The sequence below is a fragment of the Homo sapiens genome, chromosome 18, assembly GCF_000001405.40.
Source record: "Homo sapiens chromosome 18, GRCh38.p14 Primary Assembly".
NCBI classification, from domain to species: domain Eukaryota; kingdom Metazoa; phylum Chordata; class Mammalia; order Primates; family Hominidae; genus Homo; species Homo sapiens.
The window spans coordinates 35492722-35514597 of NC_000018.10; the positions used below are offsets into that span (position 1 = coordinate 35492722).

The window sequence follows — 21876 nt, forward strand, 5'->3', positions numbered from 1 at the left end:
TCTCTCATTATCTGCCCTATCCTCCTAAAGATGCAACTACTGCCTCTCCACTTTAGATGTTTTATTAGCTGCTTCACAAATGAAGAGGCTATTAAGTAACTCTCAGTCTATAGGTTAATTAGATTTCTCAGTACATTTTATCAACTTTAATACACATTTGAAAAGCCTAAATTACCCTATATTGATTCAGTAAAACTGTTGCCAAAAGCATTTCTCTGTACCATGAATTTGGTTATACCAGAGATCTAATTAATAATCTTCTAATATACAAAGTAACAGAGTGATATCAAGAGAGGCAGTTAAGAAAAAAGAATGTAGACTCTGGACGGCATGCCTGGGTTCGAATCCCGACACTAACACTGTGTGAGCTTGGGCAAGTTACACAGTCTCTCTATGCTCTTGGCGTTTTTATCTGTAAAATGAAGTGATCAATTCACAGAGGGTCGTTTGGAGAATTAAATGACATAGTACTTAGAAAGTACATAGAACAGTGCCTGGCATGTAGTAAATGCTTGATAAATATTAATTACTATTATTTATCCTTATTCCTTTCACTTTAACAGTTATCTGTTCCCCAACCCACCAAAATTAATCCCTTCAAAGTAACAACCAGAGTGAATGGAAGACTGCACTTTCATAACATTATTAATCAACAACTGTTATAGTGAAAATATAAATCCACAGAATTGTGATTCTAAGATGATTTGTACCACCCCTTAGCAAGCATGAACATTAGTAGTAATTTCTGCTGAACTAGAGAGAGCCATCTTGATGAAATGATAAAACAAAGTTGTTTTTGTACTACTAAATTATTTAATAGTATTTCCTAACACTGATGTAAAGAAGGCTTCTATAAATGCTTTTCTCAGAATACTTTTAGCTGAAAAATATTCCCTTCAACTCCTCAGGACTTCTAAGCATCTAAATTTCTAAACTTCTTTAAATTTCAACTAAGCACTCAATTTTACTTTAGAAACAGCAAGCATATTTCAGGAAAGTTAAACCCACCTTAAGAATCCATGATAATTCAAGTTATCTTTAACAATCTCAAAAGGCACTCTAATGTCCTACACGTAAATGTGCTTTGTAAATTTTAAAATTCCATGAAAGTTTTACATACTTTGCCTTTACTTAAGAATCAAAATAGCTAAAATTACTGACGTAGGGAAATTTACGTGATGAAAGACCTATAAAATCTCCTCTAACTCAAGAAATACAATCATTTATAGAAAAACACTCACTTCCCCACTAAGGGAACCTTGGGCAACCTGGGTTAATCTCACAATGAGCACAGCTCTGAACCTGGAATGCCTTCTCCAGCAAACCTCTCCAAGCCAACTTCAAGTCCCTCTGCCTCCCTACCTCTCCTTTGAGTACCATCACCAGCACTGAGGAATCATCCTCCTGTGTCTCACCACAATAGGGCACCAACACCTATAATTACCTATAATTAGCTTTGGCTCAAGGTTAGACATTACTATATCTTCCTAATGGTTTCATTTGTGTGATAGGTAGAATTCCAGTACACCCCTGCTACCTTGCAAGTACTCTGCCCCTGGTGTGCACACAATTTCTCCGAGTTATTCAAGCAGACACTAATCTAGGTGCAGCTACAAAGGGGTTTTGCAGATGTAATTAAGGTCTCAAATCAGCTGACTTTTAAAAAAGGTGATTATCCAAGTAGGCCTGCCTAATCACATAAATCTTTTAAATCTGAGTCCAGGGGTCAGCAATAAAAGAAGTCTGAAATATCTGAAGCATGAGAAGAATTGGACACAAGGGAGATTCTCCATAGCTGGCTCTGAAAATGGAAAACGCCATGTGGCAAGGAACACGGGCAGCAGCTGACAGCCAGCAAGAAGACAGGGGCCCTGCAGTCCTGCCGCCCCAAAAGAACAGAATTCTGCCAACAACCTGAATTCACCTGCATGCAAATTTCTCCCCAGAGCCTTCAGACAAGAACTCGGCTAACACTTTGATTTCAGCTTTGTGATACCCAGAGCAGAGAGTCAACCCAGTTGCATTGTGTCAGGACTTCTGACCTACAGAACCATGAGCTACTAAATGAGTGTTATTTAAGCCACTAAATTTGTGATAATTTGTAATGACAGCAGTAGAAAACTAAACACAATGTATATACGTCATTCTCTCCTGGGATGTTTTTGGTAGTGTGGGGACAAGCTATAATCCTTTGAAATGTCTTAAGCATACTGCTGGGGATGGAACAGAAACAGTACAATAAATTACTGCTACATGAACTGAACTGAAACAGAACAGAAAGGTTGGGCAAGTGACACAGATGAGGGTGACCTCAAGAAGATTCCTGGCAGCCCTCAGGGGTACTGTGCTTATGCCTGCTTATTTCCTATACGCTGTGAAAAGGGAACTAGAATGAAAGGATCACAGCAAGGCAAAAATCTAAGACAACCGGGCACAGTGGCTCATGCCTGTAATCCCTAAACTTTGGGAGGCCAATGTGGGCAGATTGCTTGACCCCAGGAGTTTGAGACGAGCTTGGGTTATGTGGTGAAATTCCACCTCTACCAAAAATACAATGGTGGCATGCACCTGTCGTCCCAGCTACTTGGGAGGCTGAGGTGGGAGGATCCACTGAGCCAGGAGGTCGAGGCTGCAGTGAGCCATGATTGTGCCACTGTCCTCCAGCCTGGGTGACAGAAGAAGACCCTGTCTTCTTTAGTAAATATCAGTTGGGAAAAGGAGAGTCAGGACAAAAGAAGGCACTATTTCATGAAATGCTCTGCCCTTTCCAGCTTCTCCTGAGGCTGCTGCTTGGATACAAAAAAGGCCCAGAGGGAATAGAGAGTTAAGATTTCCACCATATTGGATTACTGGGAATTTCCAGTCTCCTGAAGGCATTTGACCACTTTCAGAAGCTTGTGGTAGTGGAAGTTGATCAACAATCCCTTTGGGGTCAAAACAATTATTCCTACCCATATGTCCTAGTGACACTCCTTGGTCCTGGCACAACTGGTTATCAAAACGCACCAGTCGCAGGCTGGGAGCAATTACTCACAATACATACATCTGGCAAAGGAGTCTAATCAAGAAAGATAATGTAATGAACTTCTACACATCAATATAATTTTTTTTTAAAAGCCAATTAGAAAAAAATAATTAGGCACTCCACAAAAGATCTGGAATGTCCAACAAGCTCATGAAAAGTGATTGATATCATTAGCCATCAGAGAAACAAATTAAAACAAGGAGATACTACTACACACTCAACAAAATGGCTAAAAGTTAAAGACTGACAATGAAAGACTGACAATACTCTGTATTGTTGAGGATTTCGAGCAACTGGCACTCTCATACTTTGCCGGTAAGAATGCAAAAACAGTGCAACTACTTTGAGAAATACTGTTTAACAGTTACTGAGTTAAATGTATGCCTACCTTCTGACTCAGCAATTCCACTACTTCTCAAGAGAAATGAAAGCATCTATCTACACAAAGACTTGTACAAGAATGTTCAGAGCAGCTTCTGCACAAAGCCAAAAACTGTAAACGTTCAAATATTCATCGGGTGTATGTTTATACAATGCAACAGATGTACTAAACGACTCTCAAAAACATTGTCTCAAAAAGGAACCTAGACAGATGCAAAAGAATATGTTCCCTATTGTCCTGTATTATTCCATTTATATTATGTTCCAACCCAAAGTCAGTCTATTGTGAAGGGTGGCTGAACAGTGGGTAACTGTTAGGAAGGAAAGACAGTACTGACAGGAAAATGTCACCTGCTCTTAGAAATGCTATCTTGATCCAGGCAGTGGCCATAGGTGTATACAAATGTAAAAGGGCACTGGATCTGTAGTTTTGTTTTGTTTTGTTTTGTTTGCGATAGGCTCACTCTGTTGCCCAAGCTGGACTGCAATGGCACGATCATAGCTCGCTGTAACCTTGAAATCTTGGGCTTAAGTGATGCTCTTGTAGTTGGGACTAAAGGCGTGCACCATCACGCCCAGCTATTTGTAAATTTGGATGGGGGTTGGGGAGCAGGTCTCGAACTCCTGTCCTCAAGCAATCCTCTCACCTTGGCCTCTCAAAGTGCTGGGATACAGGCGTGAGACAGGATTCTTGAAGATCTGTGGTTCAGCCAGTATTCTTGAAAATTTGTGCATTGTACTCTGTGTAAATCTTACTATAGCAAAGTATTTAATATTAAAAGGTTAAAATAAAAAGCACTACCAATCACCTACAGAAGAAGGAACAAGATTTCTAGAACAGCCACTGACTGACTGGGTGAACGGTGGTGTCACACCATATGCTGAGGAGCACAAAGTAACACACTCTATCTCTGCTTTTTTGCTTTGAATAAAATGCAGGAGCCAGAGAAAACACTAATCAAGCCACTCCCTGCTGAAAATTCATTGCTGGAATTACGGAACCTAGATTGTTCAGAGGCCCTGACGTCTGAGCCAGGCGCTGAGCTCAGTGCCTTTACACTCATTACTTCATAACCTTAACAAGCCCATGAGTTAAGACCAAACCTGCCTTTGGATTGGGAAACCCAGGGTCAAAAAAGCACTTTTCTCAGGATGAGAGAAAGCATACTTATCAATACATCTTGTATTCATCCATGCAGGACATTACAGCGCTATGCGCCTCAAAGACACTGGGTAGATGTCTGCAGAATGGACGAGGGGAAGACACGCAAATTTCTGAATGACTGACACTCATTAGTCCTGAACCTCATGCTAAAGGCGACCTCGAGGGGAAGAGGCAGTCCTTCTATTAATACTAAGTCAGTAATAACCTCCCTACTTCTTCTTCTCTCCTTACAACACAAGGCGTTGTAAGCCCATGTGTCCAAACGAAGGGAAAGAGTAGTCATTCACTCCGCGGGGCAGCGTCTTTCAACCCCAACGGAGACCGCACGCGCAGCGCCCCACATTACGCACGCGCCCTGGCTCGGCTCCGCCCCGCCAAGTCCCGTTTCGCGACGCGCACGCGCAGCCTGGGAGCGCGACTGCGTACCTGCGCAAAGCTGGAAGCGGACGCTTTTTTCTTCTTACTGGCGCCATAGCCCCCGCCGCTGCTGCCATTGTGGGAAGGGCTGGCCGGCCTCTTCTTGCTGTTCCGGACTATTCCGGGAGTGGAAGTGGTGGCCACAATTGGAATTTGCGCCGCCATCGCACTCCGAGTCTTCCCCTGGTCCCCCCACCTTTTTCCCAGCGCGGGCCTTGGAACTTCCTTTCCGCTGTTACTTCCGTCTTGATGCTTGAAAACCCGGCCTGGACTCCAAGCTGTAGCTGGCTTCTCTCGGTGCAATCTAAAAGGCGGAGCTCGGAGTAGCCTGTGCCGTCGGGACGGGAAGATGTCAGCGGGCGTTGTCCTGCCACTCGGGCGCTCTGGGCGTGGGCCTTGGGTGGGGCACGTGCCTGGAAATCCCCATTGATAGAGGAATAGAAAATCTCCCAATCTTTTTAAGTAACTACGTTTTAAAAAATTAATGAGCGTGTTGTCTTTTCTCATATAGAAGAGTGATTACTTTTGATGTCTGTAAGCCTAAAGCTGGGGTCGTTCTCAGTAGACCGCCAAGCTACTGGCTTCTCCCTCTATCCCTCCCTGCCTTCCCACGCGGAAAAGGTTTGTATATAAATAGCGCCCAAATGGACATGAAGGGTAGAGTGGTTCTTAATCTCTCCCTTTTTTTTTTTCTTTTATTTGAGACGGAGTTTCGCTCTTGTTGTCCAGGCTGGAGTGCAATGGCGCGATCTCGGCTCACTGCAAACTCCGCCTCCCGGGTTCAAGCGATTCTCCTGCCTCAGCCTCCCGAGTAGCTGGGATCACAGGCATGTGCCACCATGCCCGGCTAATTTTGTATTTTTAGTAGAGACGGGGTTTCTCCATGTTGGTCAGGCTGGTCTCGAGCTCCCGACCTCAGGTGATCTGCCCGCCTCGGCCTCCCTAAGTGCTGGGATTACAGGCGTAAGCCACCACGCCCGGCCGGTTCTTAATCTCTTAGGATTCACAGACTCTTGAGCATGGAATCTGTGCTTCCTATCCCTGCCGCACACCCCCACCTCCCCACCACCCCATTAAATGTATACAGACACAGACAAAATTTTACAGATTTCAGGGAGGTCACAGATCTACTAAAACCTATTTAGGAACCTGAGTCCCCCTACCCGCCTTGTTCTTTGCCTCATTCTACCCTATATTTTTACAGAACCTTTGCGACATCATATAACTAAATGATTTATAATCGGATGGTTAATGTCTTTTTTGGCTCCTGCTAGAATGTAATCTGTATGAGGGAAGGGTCAGTTATGTCTTGTTAACTTATCAGTCCCCCCAATCACAGTACCTTGCAAGTCATTGGTGCATTATAAGTATTTTTAATGATGTATTTAACGAATGAACTAACTCCCTGCAGTGATTGGTGGAAGCTACTATGTTTGAATACAGGAAGTTGATGTATATGAGTCTTGATATTTGAAATAAACAGGCTGCACAATGACTTAGAGGTGAGAGAGAAGGAGCAGTTAGGGAAACTTGCAATATTGTTACTGACATATTTTTTCCTTTAGAGAAAGGAATAAGCCTACCAGTGTTGAAATGTTCTTTCCCACACCCCATCTCCATCCCTATCCTCATCTAAAGCTAGTCTTTTCCTCATTCCTTAACTCAAGGACTCACCTCCAACAAGCCAGTCACCTAAGCAAACTCTACTGTCCCCACCTCCTCCCATTCCTCACCTCCTCAGCTCGCTTCTCTCCTTCACGGCTCCTGCCCTGGTGAATCTGTATCCCATGTCTACATCTCAGCAACAGCCTCCAGATGGACGTTTCGGCCGCCATCTTTCCCTTATCCATTCCTGACCCCAGACCATCCTTCACACTGGCTGCCAGAATGGGATTTCTAAATTACAAATATAATCATACCACTTACTTTCTTACATTCTTCAGGGCCCTTTTGCCTTCAGGGTAAAATTTTTTTTTTACCTTCAGGGTAAGAACGTTTTGGCTTGTCATACAAGGTCCTTAATGACTGGGCTCTGGGCCGGGCGCGGTGGCTCACACCTGTAATCCCAACACTTTGAGAGGCTGAGGCGGGCAGATCACAAGGTCAGGAGATAAAGGCCATCCTGTCCAACACGGTGAAACCTCGTCTCTACTAAAAATACAAAAATTAGCTGAGTATGGTGGCATGCGCCTGTAATCCCAGCTACTCAGAAGGCTGAGGCAGGAGAATCGCTTGAACCCGGGAGATTGCAGTGAGCAGAGATCGTGCCACTGCACTCCAGCCTGGCAACAGAGCAAGACTCCGCCTCAAAACGACAACAACAACAACAACAACAACAACTGGGCTGTGCCCCATTCTGTTGCTTGGTTCCCAACACTTAATTCCTTGTGTTCCAGCCAAGGACTAACTCTATTTCCTAGAATGTATATGTTTTCTTAGCTTGTCATATTTTTGTTTCTATTATTTCCTCTCCTGGGAATGCTTAGCTCCTTGCCTGATTACCATCCATTTTGCCTCAGTTCAGATGCTACTTCCAATGAAAAGCTTTCTGCCATCTGACACACCTTCCTTCCCCTTCCCTTTCCCTGTCCTCACGCTGTGCACGTGAGCACAGGGGGACCTGCTGGGCTGCTTCCTGTCATCCCTTATTGAGTTCAAACACCAACTCCCTACTTTTAAGGAGTCAGACAAGTGGATGCACCGCCATCTGGTTTCCTGTTACTAAATTCAGGCCTGATCTTGTCTGATTCCTTTCTTTCTGAAATTCTTCCCTTGGTATCTGAAACATCACCATCTTTTTGTTTTCCTCTTTCCTGGCCAGTCTTCTGTTACCAAATGGTCTCTAATGCTACTACAGGTTTTTCAAAATATATAGTCACATGCTCCTGTAGATTCACATTTTAAAAGTTTCCCAAGTGATTCTAATGATCAGCCAGGTTTGAAACCAGACTCTTGCACAGAATCCTTACATATTGAGAGTTCCTTGGTGCTTGGTCCAAGGCCCTCTGCTCTTCTCAGTTGATACTCTCCCCAGCCATTGCACCATTTCTTGCGGATTCAGTTACCACCTAAATGCAGACCACTTTCAGATTTGCATCCTTTATCTGGCTCTTTCTCCAAAGATGCATACCCAAGGCCAGGTATGGTGGCTCATGTCTGTAATCCCAACACTTTGGGAAGCCGAGGCGAGTGGATCACTTGAGGTCAGGAGTTCAAGTCCAGCCTGGCCAACATGGGTGAAACCTCGTCTCTACTAAAAAAATACAAAAATTAGCCAAGCATGGTGGGGCCTGCCTGTAGCCCCAGCTACTTGGGAGACTGAGGCACAAGAATCACTTGAACTCGGAGGGTGGAGGTTTCAGTGAGCCTGGGCGACAGAGGAAGACTCCGTCTCAAAAAAAAAAAAAAAAAAGCATACCTGGACGTAAAATTCCTTTCCCTAGTATAAACTCAGATGCTTACACGCATCTTTCACTCCGCATGGCAAAAACAGAATTCATCATCCTCTCTGCTCCTCTAAAACAGATTCCTCCTTCAGTGTTTCCTGTCTCAGCAAATGCCACGATTAGCCACCAGTTCTTCAGACCAAAACTTGGGAGTCATCCTTGACTCCTCCCCTTCCTCCACTCCACACCATAACCGTATTCCAGCCACCATCTCTCTCTGGACTTGCAAAGTGGCCTTATGCGTTCTCTTTCTGCCTCCACCTTTGGTCCGTGCAACCCAGTTCCAACATGCGATTCCAGATGATTTCTTTAAAGATACAAATGTGCATTTTTCAGATCACACCGCCTGCTTGAAACCATTCAGTGGCTTCCTGTGGTCCCTAGAATGAAGCCCATTGTCCACGAGGTGGTTCCAAAGGTCCTTAGAGACCTGCCATCTCTCCAGCTTGCCTCTGTCCCAGGTCCCTGCACTCCTGCTCAGTTTTCACTTTTGTTAGTTCCAACAACCAGCTGTGCCCCTCCTCCCTCAGGCCTTGACACACTGCTCCTCCTGCCTGGAAGCTGCTTTTCTCCCGACCCCACCCTCCTCTGGTCTCACTAAATTCCACGCACCCTTCCTATCTTGGCTGACATGCTACATTTTCAGTGTTCCCTCTCCTCTGGTCTGGTTCCACATTCCCATCAGTCTCTCTCAGTTATTTAATCCCTGTTGATTACCTTTTTTTCTTTTTTTTTGGGAGGATCTTTCTATGTAGCCCAGTACATACATTTCTAGTAGGGAAGGAAAGATATTATATTTGTCTTCTCAGCTGGACTTAAGCTTCCTATAGGCAGTTGCCAGAGTCATCAGGGATTGAGTGGCAGAGCATCAACAGATGACAGCAACAAGGAGAGTGGGAGAAATGCTGGAGGACATTGGCTTGAGAAACCTGCCCCATGATCACCGTGGTAGTGCCAGTTACTACCAGTGTTGGCACATACCAGGATCCCATATACTTGCTGCATATGTAACTCATGGGTTTCCTTGTCCATTGGTAAAGATAAATTAATACTGATGACTCAACATTCTGCTAGCTTATGTGTTGAGACAGGGCCTAAGGCTGCCCTAAGTTCCCTCCTCAGTTATTCCTGAAAACTTGCAGGGTGTGTCTCACCCCTGCCGTAGTGTGCGCCCTCTCTTGCACTTCCTCTTCAGCTTCCTTCCTGGTACTTGCAGCTCCTGTTTCCCTCACCAATGCCACACTTCCTTTGGCAAAGGCTGCTGGGGCTTTCTCTGGGATATTGATGCCCTGACTGCGGTGTACCAGTTAAGCAGCCTCAGCCAGAGTCTTGATCCCAGTTAAGACAATGATTAAGAATGAATAATGTGCCTGCTAAGCTACTATGTATGACTTGAGACACAGAGTGCCGAATTTACTGTCTCTCAAAGATCTCAGCAAACACAGTAGATATTTGGGATCATGCTGCTATTGCATGGAAGACACACTGCTCTTCTCTTGACACCTTGTGTGAAGTGTGCTAGTCATGCTCACTGTATGAAAAATGGCTGTTCCAGTTGATATGGGACTCCTTGATGAAGGGAAGAAACCTTGAAGCTGTTGCAGTCAAGATGCTCAAAATCCCCCAACTCCCAGATACTGAAAGAGGCAGCTTAGTGTGCACTGTCTACTCTGAGCTCTGGGGACGTGCAGTTGAAAACAAACCCATTGCAGTGAGAAGCTGATGGAATCCTCAGAGACCAGTGGCAGTCCTCTCAGGAGTGTGAGAGCAGCACTCATTCCTGGAACACCATCTCTGAGGAACCTTCCTAAAGTAGCCTGTGTTTTCTCCATCACAGACCAAAGTATATCGTTTGGTAAGTGCTTGTGGGTCACAGGCTCACTTGAGCAGACACAGTTTCTTCTTTGTCGCTGTTTTCAGAGTATTGCAGTCCCTCGGTGGCAATCTGCTATGTGCCTCATTGTAAACAATCAGTATTAATAGAGAGAGCAGAAGAGAGCTCGGGCCCAGTGGATGCTGGGGACAGGCCTTTGCTCACTTCATTGCCTGCTATTTCTTGCCTGACAGCCGCATGGAAATATTTAAAAGCTGGAAAGAGTAATTGAAAATAGGCCTGACTGTGACATTTCCAGGGTTCAGGGCAAGAGTACAAATGGAGGCCTACCTACCATATGCCTTGATATTTAAGTGTACAAAGCAAGCTAATAACATGTAAAATAAAATATGTTCTACCCTTCTATCTTGGCAAATGTATCTTTATAACCCAGAAGGCCAGAGTTGAATTTAGAATGCTCAGATTTCTTGGAGTTCTGCTCAGAATGTGGTAGGGTGGGAAGAGCTGTTCCAGCCCTGAGCCCCCCTTTTCCCCCCTACTCCTCAGGGCATCTGGAGGAAACATGTGTGTACACCTGTGGAAACCTCTTGACTACCCCCTCAAGCCTTTGGGGATATACATCAAGTGCAAGGACAAGGTCCACAGGGGCCCTCCCAGGGGGCACAGGGCCGTTTGAGCATGAGGTTCTGGGGTCCCAAGCACCAGAGCATGTTCTAAAAGGAGGGAGCCATGGACTTGGGTTGACACATTTCCCTGTGTCCCTATTCACTCTGCTCAGTGTGGAAAGGCAGAGCCAGAAAGAGGGGCTTCTTGCCCAGGCTGTGCGTCACAGGCCTGTGCTCAGAGTGTTAAGTAGGAAGACACCAGATGAGGAGCAGAAGCCAGGTGCATGGAGCTCCAGCCTCCTTTAAACTGGAGTGGGAGAGGGGAAGGCAGGTCCAGGAGGAGATCCAGTTGAGATGGCAGAAAGTTGATGTGATTTCCATCTCTAAGCCTGGGTTTTCTCAGTAACAGGAGAGGTAACAGGTAGCAACCCCTGCAAGGTGGAGGGAGAGTGGTAGAGGCTTAGGAAGGGTCGTAGGAAGATTTGGAAAAGCCACACTTTAAAGGTACCATTAGAGAGAGAGCTGAGAAGGGACCTGTGAGAAACCTCCTGGCAGTGCCGAGTGGCACATCTGCTTGGGCAGGTTGGGCACAGCTGAAGTCCAGAAGCACCCTTTATTGTGGTTACTGTGTGTATGTATGGCAACCCTCGAGTTGGGCACTGCACATCTTACACAGTAGGAAGACATACTTGGTGCATCCAAACTCATGCAATCTACTCTCTGAATTTTGACCTCAACAGATAATACTGCTTTGCAAAGTCTGAAGGAGAGAAAATAGTTTTAAGGGCCATTTTGCTTACTGGAATTACTTCTTAAATCCATGCCTGTTAAGTAAACACCAATTTAACATTACAAATATGGCCCAGAAAGGCTGACACAGGACTTTCCAAATAGTGGGGTGCTTGCCTTCCATTGTGAAAGGCAGGATTCTGCTCCCAGGATGGTATTTTTCTGTCTTTTGTTGCCCACCTCTGTGAATCCCCTTCTGGGCACTGGTCGTCCCTTTCTCTCTTACCAGAGGTCCCACCCATTATTTAAAATGAATTATTGTTTTAACACTTACTGTTTGTGCATACCATAGAGAAAGAAAACAATTATAATTACTATAATTCTCCCATCTCTGATATTTTTTTCCCTGTTTTCTCTCTCATAACCTCAAATTTGCTAATCCCCAGGCTGTGACAACACCTGCCTTCTTAAATTGTCAGCCTGCTTTGATTATTTTCCCCAGCATCATGGTTCCTAACCCCCACTGCTGTGTTGCTTGTTTTGGTTGTTTTTATTCACATGTGACACCTTGTTTCTGTCAGCTGTACATTAAGATAGTATCAGAGAAGATCAATCCACAAGCTTTGGGCACATTCACTAATGGAATAAAACAGAGACAATATGGAAGCTTAGAGATGTTCATTGTCTAAGTTCACCAAGAAATCCCCAAAGACTGAGAAATTGAGGCCTCCTCCAGGTATCCCATATGTACCCCTCTCTAGACATTGCTGCTGTTGCTGCTCCAAAGTAGGTGAGCTAACCAGTCCAGCTCCCAGGTGTGACCCAGCCCTGGGAACAGGGGCAGGGCGAGAAGAGGGTATGGCCAAGGGAGGGAGACCCATTCTGGGCAAAGGACCTGTGACAGGCAGGGCTGTCAGCGGTCTTCTTCCTTGGCATGGCACTGGACAGAACCCAAAGGATAGTGGGACAGTCCCCATCCCTCACTTTGTCGAAAGACGATGGCCATTGTTTGGAAGAACAAGAGAGGAAATGTGCTCACAGTTTTTTAGAGAATCTTCATTCTATAGAGAAAGACTCAAACTACTTAGGATGCCCTATGACCTATCTGTTTATCTCGCCTTTCATCTCTCACATTTGGGCTCCCAAATGTTGACTGGGTTCTGACCCAGTCCAGCCACCCTGCCCTCCATCCCAGTTCTCTCAGGGATCTTGGGGTCCCAGCCTGGCTCAGCGTCTGCCCTGCCTCTTTCGATCTCAATCCCTGGACTTGTGTGTAAAGTGGCTTCTAGCCCCTTTCCTTATCCCATGTTCACTTTTGCAATTCCCTGACGCTGTTGTGAAGCACTTTCCGAAGAGTTCTAGTTCATTCTCCATCTACTTGCACTGAGGATTTGAACTTTTTGTAAGGATTGGGGATTGTCAGTGTGAACTGAACATCAGTTTTTGTGCTCTGCTATAATGCAAGGAACCTCTCATGAGCAGGTCGATAAGGCATTTCTCCCTATGCTAAATGGCCCTGCACTAGTATGCAGTTTGAGTTTTTGCCTTCTGATTTCATTTCTGCCATTAAAGGGCTGGCTTCAGACATCTCCCGTAGCACACCCATAAACATAATAGATTTTCTGTTTTTAATATGTTGTGGACTGAAGTGATCAACCACCACAGGTGTTAGAAATATGTCTAAAATAATCACAGAAACCCACGAGTGAGGCCTTGGTGGGGACAGGGTGGGTGTCCCAAGACCAGAGGCATGTGCTTCAGTGTGTGGACTTTTGAGAATTTAGTTTAGCTGATCTGATTAATGGCCTTTTTGGGTAATTTTTAACCTCTTTTTGGCTTCAGTTTCCTTATCTCTAAAATGAGCTAACCAATTTTGTTTATCTGAGTTGTCAGACATTTTTAAGTAAACATTTTTTTAAGGCATAACACATAAAAAATGTGCACAAATCATTTGTGGACAGCCACGTGAATTTTTACAAAGTAAACATACTTGGTAATCCAGCTTACGAAACAGAATGTTATCAGCACCTAAAAGCCCCTGCTTCATGCCCATTGCCAATCCCCAAGGTTACCACTTTCCTGGCTTCAACCACCAGAGATTAGTTCTGAGCTTTATAGAAATGTAATCAGTCGTGTACTGTATGTATTCTTGTGTGTCTGCCTTGGAGGAGATTCCTTTTGCAGCATGTAGCAGTACTTCATTGTCGTGGCTGTATGGTTTTCCACTGTGAGAACAAGCCACAGTGTAACTATTCATCTGCTGGACATTTAGGTTGTTTCCAGGGTCTTCTGGCTCTTTTGAATGAAGCTGCTTTGAACATTGTGCATACATATCTTTCAGCCTACATAGGTAAACTTCTGTTGGATTATATCAAGAATGAAATTGTTGGGTCACAGAGTATACTTTAATAGATACTTCCATTTGACAAGTGGTTGTACCAATTTACCTTCCCACCAGCAGCAAACGAGAGTTCCACTCATCTACACCAAGGATTTTTTCATTGCACTTGATACTACATAACTATATTTGCCAAACAAATGCCCCGAGCAAGCGGAGAGGCAGTGGGATATAGCAGAAATCACACTCAGGTAAAACCTCAAGTGAAGGATGCAATAGTTCTGGACGAGGAAGTTATTACTTGTAAAGCAGTGATGATCTATAAGACTACTTTCATCTATGAAAGTCTTGGCTTTTTTTGTGATTTTCATGAGAAGTGCTACCTTTGTCACATACTTTCTGGTGTCTCCCTGTGACAGGCCCAGGACAGCTCTGGGTGGACCCTAAACAACAGACATATACACATTTGCCATAGATGTACTGCTTCAAGTGCAGAGATTTAATTGGTGCAGGGACACTGACGACCTAAAGGGCTTTGGAAACAAGTGTGGGAAAGAACAAGAGAAATTTGCAAGAAGAGTTCTTGGTCCCAGAGTGGAGTCATTTTGTTCTGGAGAGTAAGGCTGAGCTGGCAGGATGGTCAGAGTGTGAAAGAGCTAGTGGCAGAGGCAGTGCTACAACCACCGTGGATGACACGCACCTACTCTTTCATGCCTGGCCAAGGCAGGTGGGATGCTGCTGCCTGTGCCTGCCTCCTCTCACAAAGCTCTCCTGCATGAAATTTGAGGTGGGCCACTGGGTGGGTGGGTGGAGCCTGTAGCCTGTGCTCAGGCCCTCACAGCAAGAGAGACTTGAAAAATTTCTATCTTACATTTTTGGCTTTTTAGAACGATGAAGTCTTCAAACCTAAAAATGGGTGCAAATATTGGACCGCTAGGGCTATGGCTACTGATGATACTAAGAGCTAAAGTGATTGCCAGTTGTTTACCCTTCCTGGAGTTTTAAAAAAATCACAACTAAAGAGCATCAGAACATTATTTTGTTCCTTATTGTTTTCTATAGTTAAAGCTCCCAGGATCCACACCTTCAACCCACCCCGCCCCCAAAGTACACAATTGTCACATGTCCAGAAGTGACACAACTTCTCAAAACCATGCAAAATATGCGGGAGGACTTGTCAAACCAAGAGGTGGCCAGAGCAAGCCACTATAGTTTCCCATTATCTGAAGTAGCCATCTGCAAGGCAAGGGCTTGTTCCTAGTCCCAGAACGTAATGGTTCATGATTCCTCAATTAAAGATTTGAATGCTTTCACTCTATCCTTCAAGCAAAGATCTCACCAGGTACTTATTCTGAGAGCAAAGGAAATCTCCTTCCTCCCACCCGTCCAGATGCCCAGCCACACACTAACAAATGCACACACATCACAAACACCGGTGTTGTCCTCCTTAGCCCTTGGCCCTCCTGGCCATTCCCTGTGGGGCTGGCCCGATGAGCTGGCTTTTGTGTCACTGGGTGCTCTTCCTGAGGCCAGCTATGGGCAGATTATGAAACTGCCGCATCTGCCCTTTCTCTCCCCAGCCTCACCTCATGCCTATACGGTCCTTCCTCCTGTACCTCCTTCTGTCATGAGGGCTTTTCTTCCACTTCCCCTACCCCCTGCTATAGGGCAAGCAATGAATTAACTCAGTATGGGAGGAGGGGACTCCTTACAGAAGAATAAGACCAAAAATATCTTATATATAGGAGCCCCAGCACCTCTCCAAACTCCTGGAGAGCCACCGTAGGCACGGCTTTGACCCTGAGGCCTCTTAAAAGGCAGATGCTTCCCCCAGAAAGGTTGAGTGTTTAATCACCAATCCCTGGTGTCTCACTTTGAGTTATTTTGTCAGATCACTTTCCTCTGAGCCAGGAGAAGTCTTTAGGATGGAAAGAGCTTGTAAAAGTCAACAGAGAGAGAACAGAATAATAAGGAGGGTACCCCTGCTAAGAGAGCTGATCCAGGATCCTCTTGTCCCGTGCCCCTTCCTCTTGCTAACCAGCATGCCTCTGCCCCACCCGAGAGAAGGAGAGATGCAACCCAAGCTGGCTGCCTGCACAGCGTGCTCCAGGGTCCTGCTACAGCTTAGCAGGTATCAGTCCCCATCTTCAGCCTGACCCCCAGCCCCTCTTCGAGCACCTAGTCTAGACCTTGGTCTTCAAATCCCAAATCCTCAAACCTCCCTGTTACATTCCTAATGGATCCCATTGCTTCCCTGGTCACTCAATATGAATGTAGCAAATCCAAACGCTGGAATAGCGCTTTCCAGTTTGAAAGCACTTTGACACAATCTTACTCCATTTAAGCGTCACAACAAATCTGCCAGTGGGCTACTATTATGCTCACTCCATCACTTAGGAAACAGATTCCAAGAGATTAAAGGATGTTTTAAGGTCACACAGCTACATAGTGGTCCTGCTGGTTTGCATCAGCAATGTATCTGATGTCCCGTTGTGTGCTGGAGAACATCAGAGGCATTCCTGGCAGACCTCTCCCCTCTTCTCAGTGCCAGGCCTGAGCCAATCAAAGCCCTGCTGCTTCTTTCTTGCTCACTGCACTGGCCAGACTGTTCAGTACAATGCTGAATAGAAGCCATGAGCACAGACATCCCTATCTCCCTCCCAGTCTTAGAGGGAAAGCATTCATCTTTGACCCTTAAGTATGATGTTAGCTGCAGGTGTTCTGTAGATGTTCTTTATCAAGTGAGGAAGTTCCCTTTTATTTCTGAAAGTCTTAAATATGGAATGGAGGTTGGATTTCTTCAAATGCTTATTCTGCATCTAGTAAGGATATCATATACTTTTTCCTTTCATTCTGTTAATATGGCAAATTCGATTGGTTTTTGAATGTTAAACCAACCCTGAATTCCTGGGTTAAATCTCACTTTATTATAATGTATTACCCTTGTAGTAACATTGGATTTAATTTGCTACAAATTTGTCATGAGTTTTTGCTTTTGGTATTAGGGTAATGCTGTCCTCATAGGCTGAGTTGAAAAGTATTCCCTCCTCTTTGATTTTCTGGAAGACTTATAATATTATGTATTATTTCTTCCATAAGTGTTTGGTCGAATTTTCCAGTGCAGATATCTATGGCTGTTTTGAGGCTCTCTGGTTGTTATTTAAAAATAACCATAATAATCCAGGAAATGTCAACAACTGACAATTCCAATTGCTGTTGTCAGCATCAACATCCTTACCAACAGTATTTAGTGTCATTATTTTTAATCATCCCTGCTAGCTCACAAGAAGAATGAAGCTGGCATCTGAATAATGTTCTAGTGGTGGGCTGAGTTCATAAAGAGCCTCTGTCACATTTAACCCGAATCTTTCAGAAACCAGCAGATTCTGAGAATGAGTACTACTCCAGATGCCTTAGTGATGTTTTCAGCTCCCTCACTCGGGACCCTTGGCCAGGCAGGAGTCCTCAGCACAGCTGGTTCTCACCCCTTCCTCTGCCACTCATGGTCTCCACCCCTCAAACAACATATTCTCTCTTTTGCACTCTTCAGTTTTGCTCCATCCTTCCAGGCCCAGCTGGCATCCATCTAACTTCCCTGAGACTCTGTCAACACCTCACAGACCTTTCTCCAAATTCCTGTCACCCTGACAGCCAGAACTACGCCACTGAGCCTCTTGTTAAGCACTACCTTATGCTATTTTCTCATTGGTTCTTGAATGTTTTTCTAATTAGATTATAAACTGCTTTTCTCATATTGCCTCAGAGCACCTGATATGTGGTTGACTGCTTTAAGAGCAGCATTATAGCACATTGCATAGGAATTCCCGATGCAATTTCCTGATGCCTGCTTATTCTGCAGCAGCTCCACTGGAAAGCAAATACCAGGGAGGATGTCTTTTTATTTACGACTTTCTCTTCTAAGTGATTGCCCATGTTATATGTCAGGTCTGTGTATCTCTTAAACATTACTTGGCTTTCTTAATGGCAAAATGACTGACCTGATTTTTCAATGAAAAATCTAAAAGCATATATGACAAAAGTCAGTGTCTCCTAATATCCAAAGCATTTTTACTTACATTTCATTATACTCTGCCATGAGGCAGAGAAAGCAAATATCATGTTCACATTTTATGAGGCTCATCTTTCCAGCCTTGTCACTGCCCATGCTTCCTCTGGGCCCAGGTTTGGACTCACTGCTGTCTTGACTGAGCCCTGACTACCTTCCATGCTCCAGGCCTCATGCTGTTCCCTTGGCCTGGAAATTCCGCAGGGTCCAATTCAGATATACCTCCAAGTGAATGTTATCTGCCCCCAGGCAGAATTACTCCTACTTGAATATAAATTGCAAAAAAAAAAAAAAACCCACACTTTGATTTGCTTTATCACATACTATTAAAAACATCTTTAGAACTCATTAATAAAATATGCCTTGATTTCAAGAATAAATATAGAGTTTGAAAGTCATTTTTTTTCTTTCTAAAATTTTACTGTAGACATGGGGTGTTGCTATGTTGCCCAGACTAGTCTCAAACTCCTGGCCTCAAGCAATCCTCCCACCTCAACCTCCCAAAGAAAAGTTATTTTTATTGTTGATGAGTTGGTCAGTATTGCAAAAGGCAGTGAGCATCTATTCTGATGGCCTAAACCCAAGCTATCAGCAGCTATTAAAATATACGTTTATCATCAAAATCCATGAAGTCTCTTCATCTCATCTCTCTGTTTTCCAGTTCCTTATGTTTCTGATTCTTATTATTTCATGTACATATCCTTGAACGTCTATTTGTGTGTGCTTGTGGGCCTGCCTTGGCTGAGGTCTCTGAGGTATTTGGTTTCTCTTCTCTTTCTCTCCTTTTCCTATTGCCTTCTTGATCTTTTTTTAGTGTTGTTGTGACCTGGACTGGCTCAGCATTGGGTCACACCAGGTCTTGGCAATCAGGAGTCAAAAAGGACGGTGAGTATTTTGGGCACAGAGAATGGGCAAGATGGAAACTCTCTCAGCCACAGAGCCCAGCCCTAATGAGGGTGTTGGGGAAGACATCACAGTTTCACTTCTTGCCCCAGAGAAAGCCAGCTCAACCATGTGCCTGCATGGTTATCCCCTTCTTACTGAGTCCCTGGAGGCCAACTCTTAGCCTAAGTCTGATTAGGCTAGTTGTGCTTAGATCTGCCTAGCATGAAACACAGGTTATTTTTTTGGTTTTCCTTTAGGAGTTATCCCTTATATTTTTCCTATCCTAGAGAGCTCATTCAATTCTCTATCCCAGATGTGCATATCTGAAATTGGTAAACACTCCTTCCCCCATCAAATGACGTTCTCCCCTGTTTTCTGCCCAAGAACTGTCCAGATGAAGAGACCAAGGGCTCTGTTGCCCTCTGGTGCCCAGGTAGGTTCAGCCAATGGGGAAACTCAGCAGGAAATAGGTGAGGGAGAGTAGGTTCAAGATATTTGGTCCCCTAGCTCCCTTGTGATCTCCTGACACCCAGCCCAAACCTTGCTAAACTGTTACTTCATTGAACTCTCCACAGATTTTCATAATTTGAGTGTGCCATTGATTTCCTGCTGATGGACTTTGAGGTGTTTAAATCATCCAGAAGCAATGCAGGTTGAAATGTTATACCACCTTAGGGTATAGACACTTGAAGTAATCTCACAACAAAGGAGAACAACCAACTCAAATGGGAGCCTTGGGGAGAAATCCTGTGATTTCACTCAAGGCAGCTGTATCTTATTAATAAATGTATCACTTATTTAATGTAAAACTCCCATAACGACCAAGCTCAATGTCCTATAACTACAACTCCCATATTGGAATTGCTTAAAGTCTTAAGATTGTAAGATTATTAGGAAAGGAGTAAATAATGTCAAAATTATTCTAAAACACACCTGAAATTTAGGATCATGAGCATTCTTAAATTCATTTCCTCCTCCTTCACAAAGAGTAGGGGAAGTCATGTTTTTGTGCCACTGGCATAAGCAACTCTACTATTATGATGGCTCAGCAGGCTGATTAAGTTTAGGTGAGGCCAAGGTTCAGCTGGAGAAACAAGTCTGCAAAATTGCCCAGGCATTCTATGTCCCGAGTATGTCCTATGTGCCAAGCCGTTTGCCCAAGATGTCACATGCACTGCCACATTCATCCTCAGGTCAGTTTTGTAGAGGGGCCCATAGTCCCCATGTTATGGAGGGGTCTTTTCTTCTCACTAGCTCCCACACCCCAGCTGTGCTATGGGCTCCCCAGTTCCATAACAGGCTACAAAGGCAAATAGACAGGCCTTTACTTCGAAGGAGATGCACAGGGGACACCACAAATAACTCACATAGGCCTTCCCACCATCACCTTGCCTGACCTGGGTCACCAAGTGTGAACCCAGGACTGCCCCATGACACTGGGGTGCTCATATCATGAGGTACCCCCCAGAGACCAGAATGTCCCATCTGGACAGTCTCACAGAGGGAAACTGGTCTCTGTCAAAATATGTATTCCTTTTACTCACCTCTCACAGGGTGACATCTGAGCAAATAGGAAGTTGGTTCTTATTGTCTGTCATTCACAAAGGCTTTGGGGTGGCTCTGGGACTCCTATGTCATAGATAATCATGGTAGTCTTATGGCAGCCTCTTGACAAGCTAAGCTTCCTGCCCCTCCCAGACCAGACATCCCACGCACCTTCCAGGATGTGGAAATGTTAACCTCTCCTCGAAGCAGGAATGCACCCTGCATAAACTTGAGCCAAGTTCAACCTGTCTGTTGGCTGCACGAGCCACTCCTGACTACTCAGTCATTTCCTCATAACTTGACCCTGTATTTTATAGCCCTGAATTTTAGGTGCTCCCCTTCACTCTACCCAGCGTTATGGCAGTTGTTCTTGTGTTCCCTTTATTGACTAGGAGCCAGACAGTTTCAGACAGTATCCCAAGGAAGGAGGAGCAAAGTTTGAGGTCCCAGCAGCCCCAGGGTTCCTTTGCCCCACTGGGTGAAAGCCTTTTGAGGCCTGCAATGCTTTCGGAACCCTCCCTTCTTGCCCTGGGTTCATGGCCCCACGCATGGGAGTGACTTCGTCATGCTTCTGGAATGGGCAGCCTGTCTCAGCCAGGGTTTCCAGCCCAGGTTCCCTGCTGTGCCTTACAGAATGCAGACAGCTCAGGCTCAGCCAGGCCCAGGCCCTCCAGGAGAGCCAAGAGCTGATCTCAGCTATCAGGGACACTTACTGCATAGTGAGAAGGAATCCATTTTCACAGCCCCCCTGGGAAATGTTGCTCCTGTCAGTGTGGCTCCAGTCTTGACCATTGGCCACAATGCCCACAGCCCCACCTCTGACTGCAATTTTGTGCTGTGGGACTAAGAAGCATTTAGCTCTCGGCTCCCCCTGCTTGTCCCAAGACTTGGCATCATATCTTACACAGGTGTACACACACACAGAATACACATACACACATACGCACAAAATACATGCACACCTCTATATACGTAGCACACATGCATGTATACACATGTACACAGTCACACATAAAAAAATCACACTCACTCTCCTACATCTACACATACATAACACAAATATATACATATACGTTTTTACACACATACATATTCATATACACACACAGCCACCTTTTCAAGTGGCTCTCTCTGTTGTCCAGGCAGAGACGCACCAGTTCTGATTCAAACCTCCCCATCCTCCATCTCCCTTTGATGGGGAGTTGGGGGTGCAGAGGACAGTGGCCACTGGACCAGTGTATCCACACCACATTGAGGTGCTATTAAATAAATAAGTTCCAGTTTAAGAAGCAGAAGGCCATGATTTAGGGTGTGTCTGCTTGTGGTGGCAGCAAGTGTGTTTCTGAAGATCATACCTTCTCTTTCCTCCAGCTATAGACTTGTCCAGGGCAGAGACACTGTCTGACTTTTTATTTTTGTATTTTGTTGGTTTGTCTGTTT

At 44.9% G+C, this 21876-nt stretch overlaps 1 protein-coding gene across 5 annotated transcripts in view, besides 5 other annotated features; it reads right to left on the bottom strand.

The window, feature by feature from the left end:
• The window catches only part of INO80C (INO80 complex subunit C), a 29628-nt gene extending 24389 nt beyond the window's left edge, over window positions 1–5239 (bottom strand). For 2 of the 5 annotated variants that reach the window (NM_194281.4, NM_001098817.2), the window contains exon 1: window positions 4998–5239. In NM_194281.4, the coding sequence (NP_919257.2) occupies window positions 4998–5153 (156 nt within the window). In that variant the 5' untranslated portion in view covers window positions 5154–5239. Of the gene's footprint in view, window positions 1–4776; window positions 4888–4997 lie in introns of those variants that run through there. The other 3 variants (XM_005258196.6, NM_001308064.2, XM_011525812.4) reach the window with 3 other exon arrangements.
• Window positions 4257–4406: an enhancer, noted in NCBI's record as "active region_13224". NCBI's record gives its function as "activates an Ori minimal core promoter by ATAC-STARR-seq in GM12878 lymphoblastoid cells {active_cell/tissue: GM12878}" and the evidence as "EXISTENCE:reporter gene assay evidence [ECO:0000049][PMID:35858748]".
• Window positions 4677–4796: an enhancer, noted in NCBI's record as "active region_13225". NCBI's record gives its function as "activates an Ori minimal core promoter by ATAC-STARR-seq in GM12878 lymphoblastoid cells {active_cell/tissue: GM12878}" and the evidence as "EXISTENCE:reporter gene assay evidence [ECO:0000049][PMID:35858748]".
• Window positions 5147–5416: an enhancer, noted in NCBI's record as "active region_13226". NCBI's record gives its function as "activates an Ori minimal core promoter by ATAC-STARR-seq in GM12878 lymphoblastoid cells {active_cell/tissue: GM12878}" and the evidence as "EXISTENCE:reporter gene assay evidence [ECO:0000049][PMID:35858748]".
• Window positions 10935–11129: a silencer, noted in NCBI's record as "fragment chr18:33083620-33083814 (GRCh37/hg19 assembly coordinates)". NCBI's record gives its function as "represses an EF-1alpha promoter that drives an FKBP-Casp9 reporter gene in an ReSE screen in HepG2 liver carcinoma cells {active_cell/tissue: HepG2}" and the evidence as "EXISTENCE:reporter gene assay evidence [ECO:0000049][PMID:32094911]".
• Window positions 16133–16715: an enhancer, noted in NCBI's record as "OCT4-NANOG hESC enhancer chr18:33088818-33089400 (GRCh37/hg19 assembly coordinates)". NCBI's record gives its function as "activates a minimal SCP1, AML or CMV promoter by ChIP-STARR-seq in naive H9 embryonic stem cells {active_cell/tissue: H9 hESC(naive)}" and the evidence as "EXISTENCE:reporter gene assay evidence [ECO:0000049][PMID:30033119]".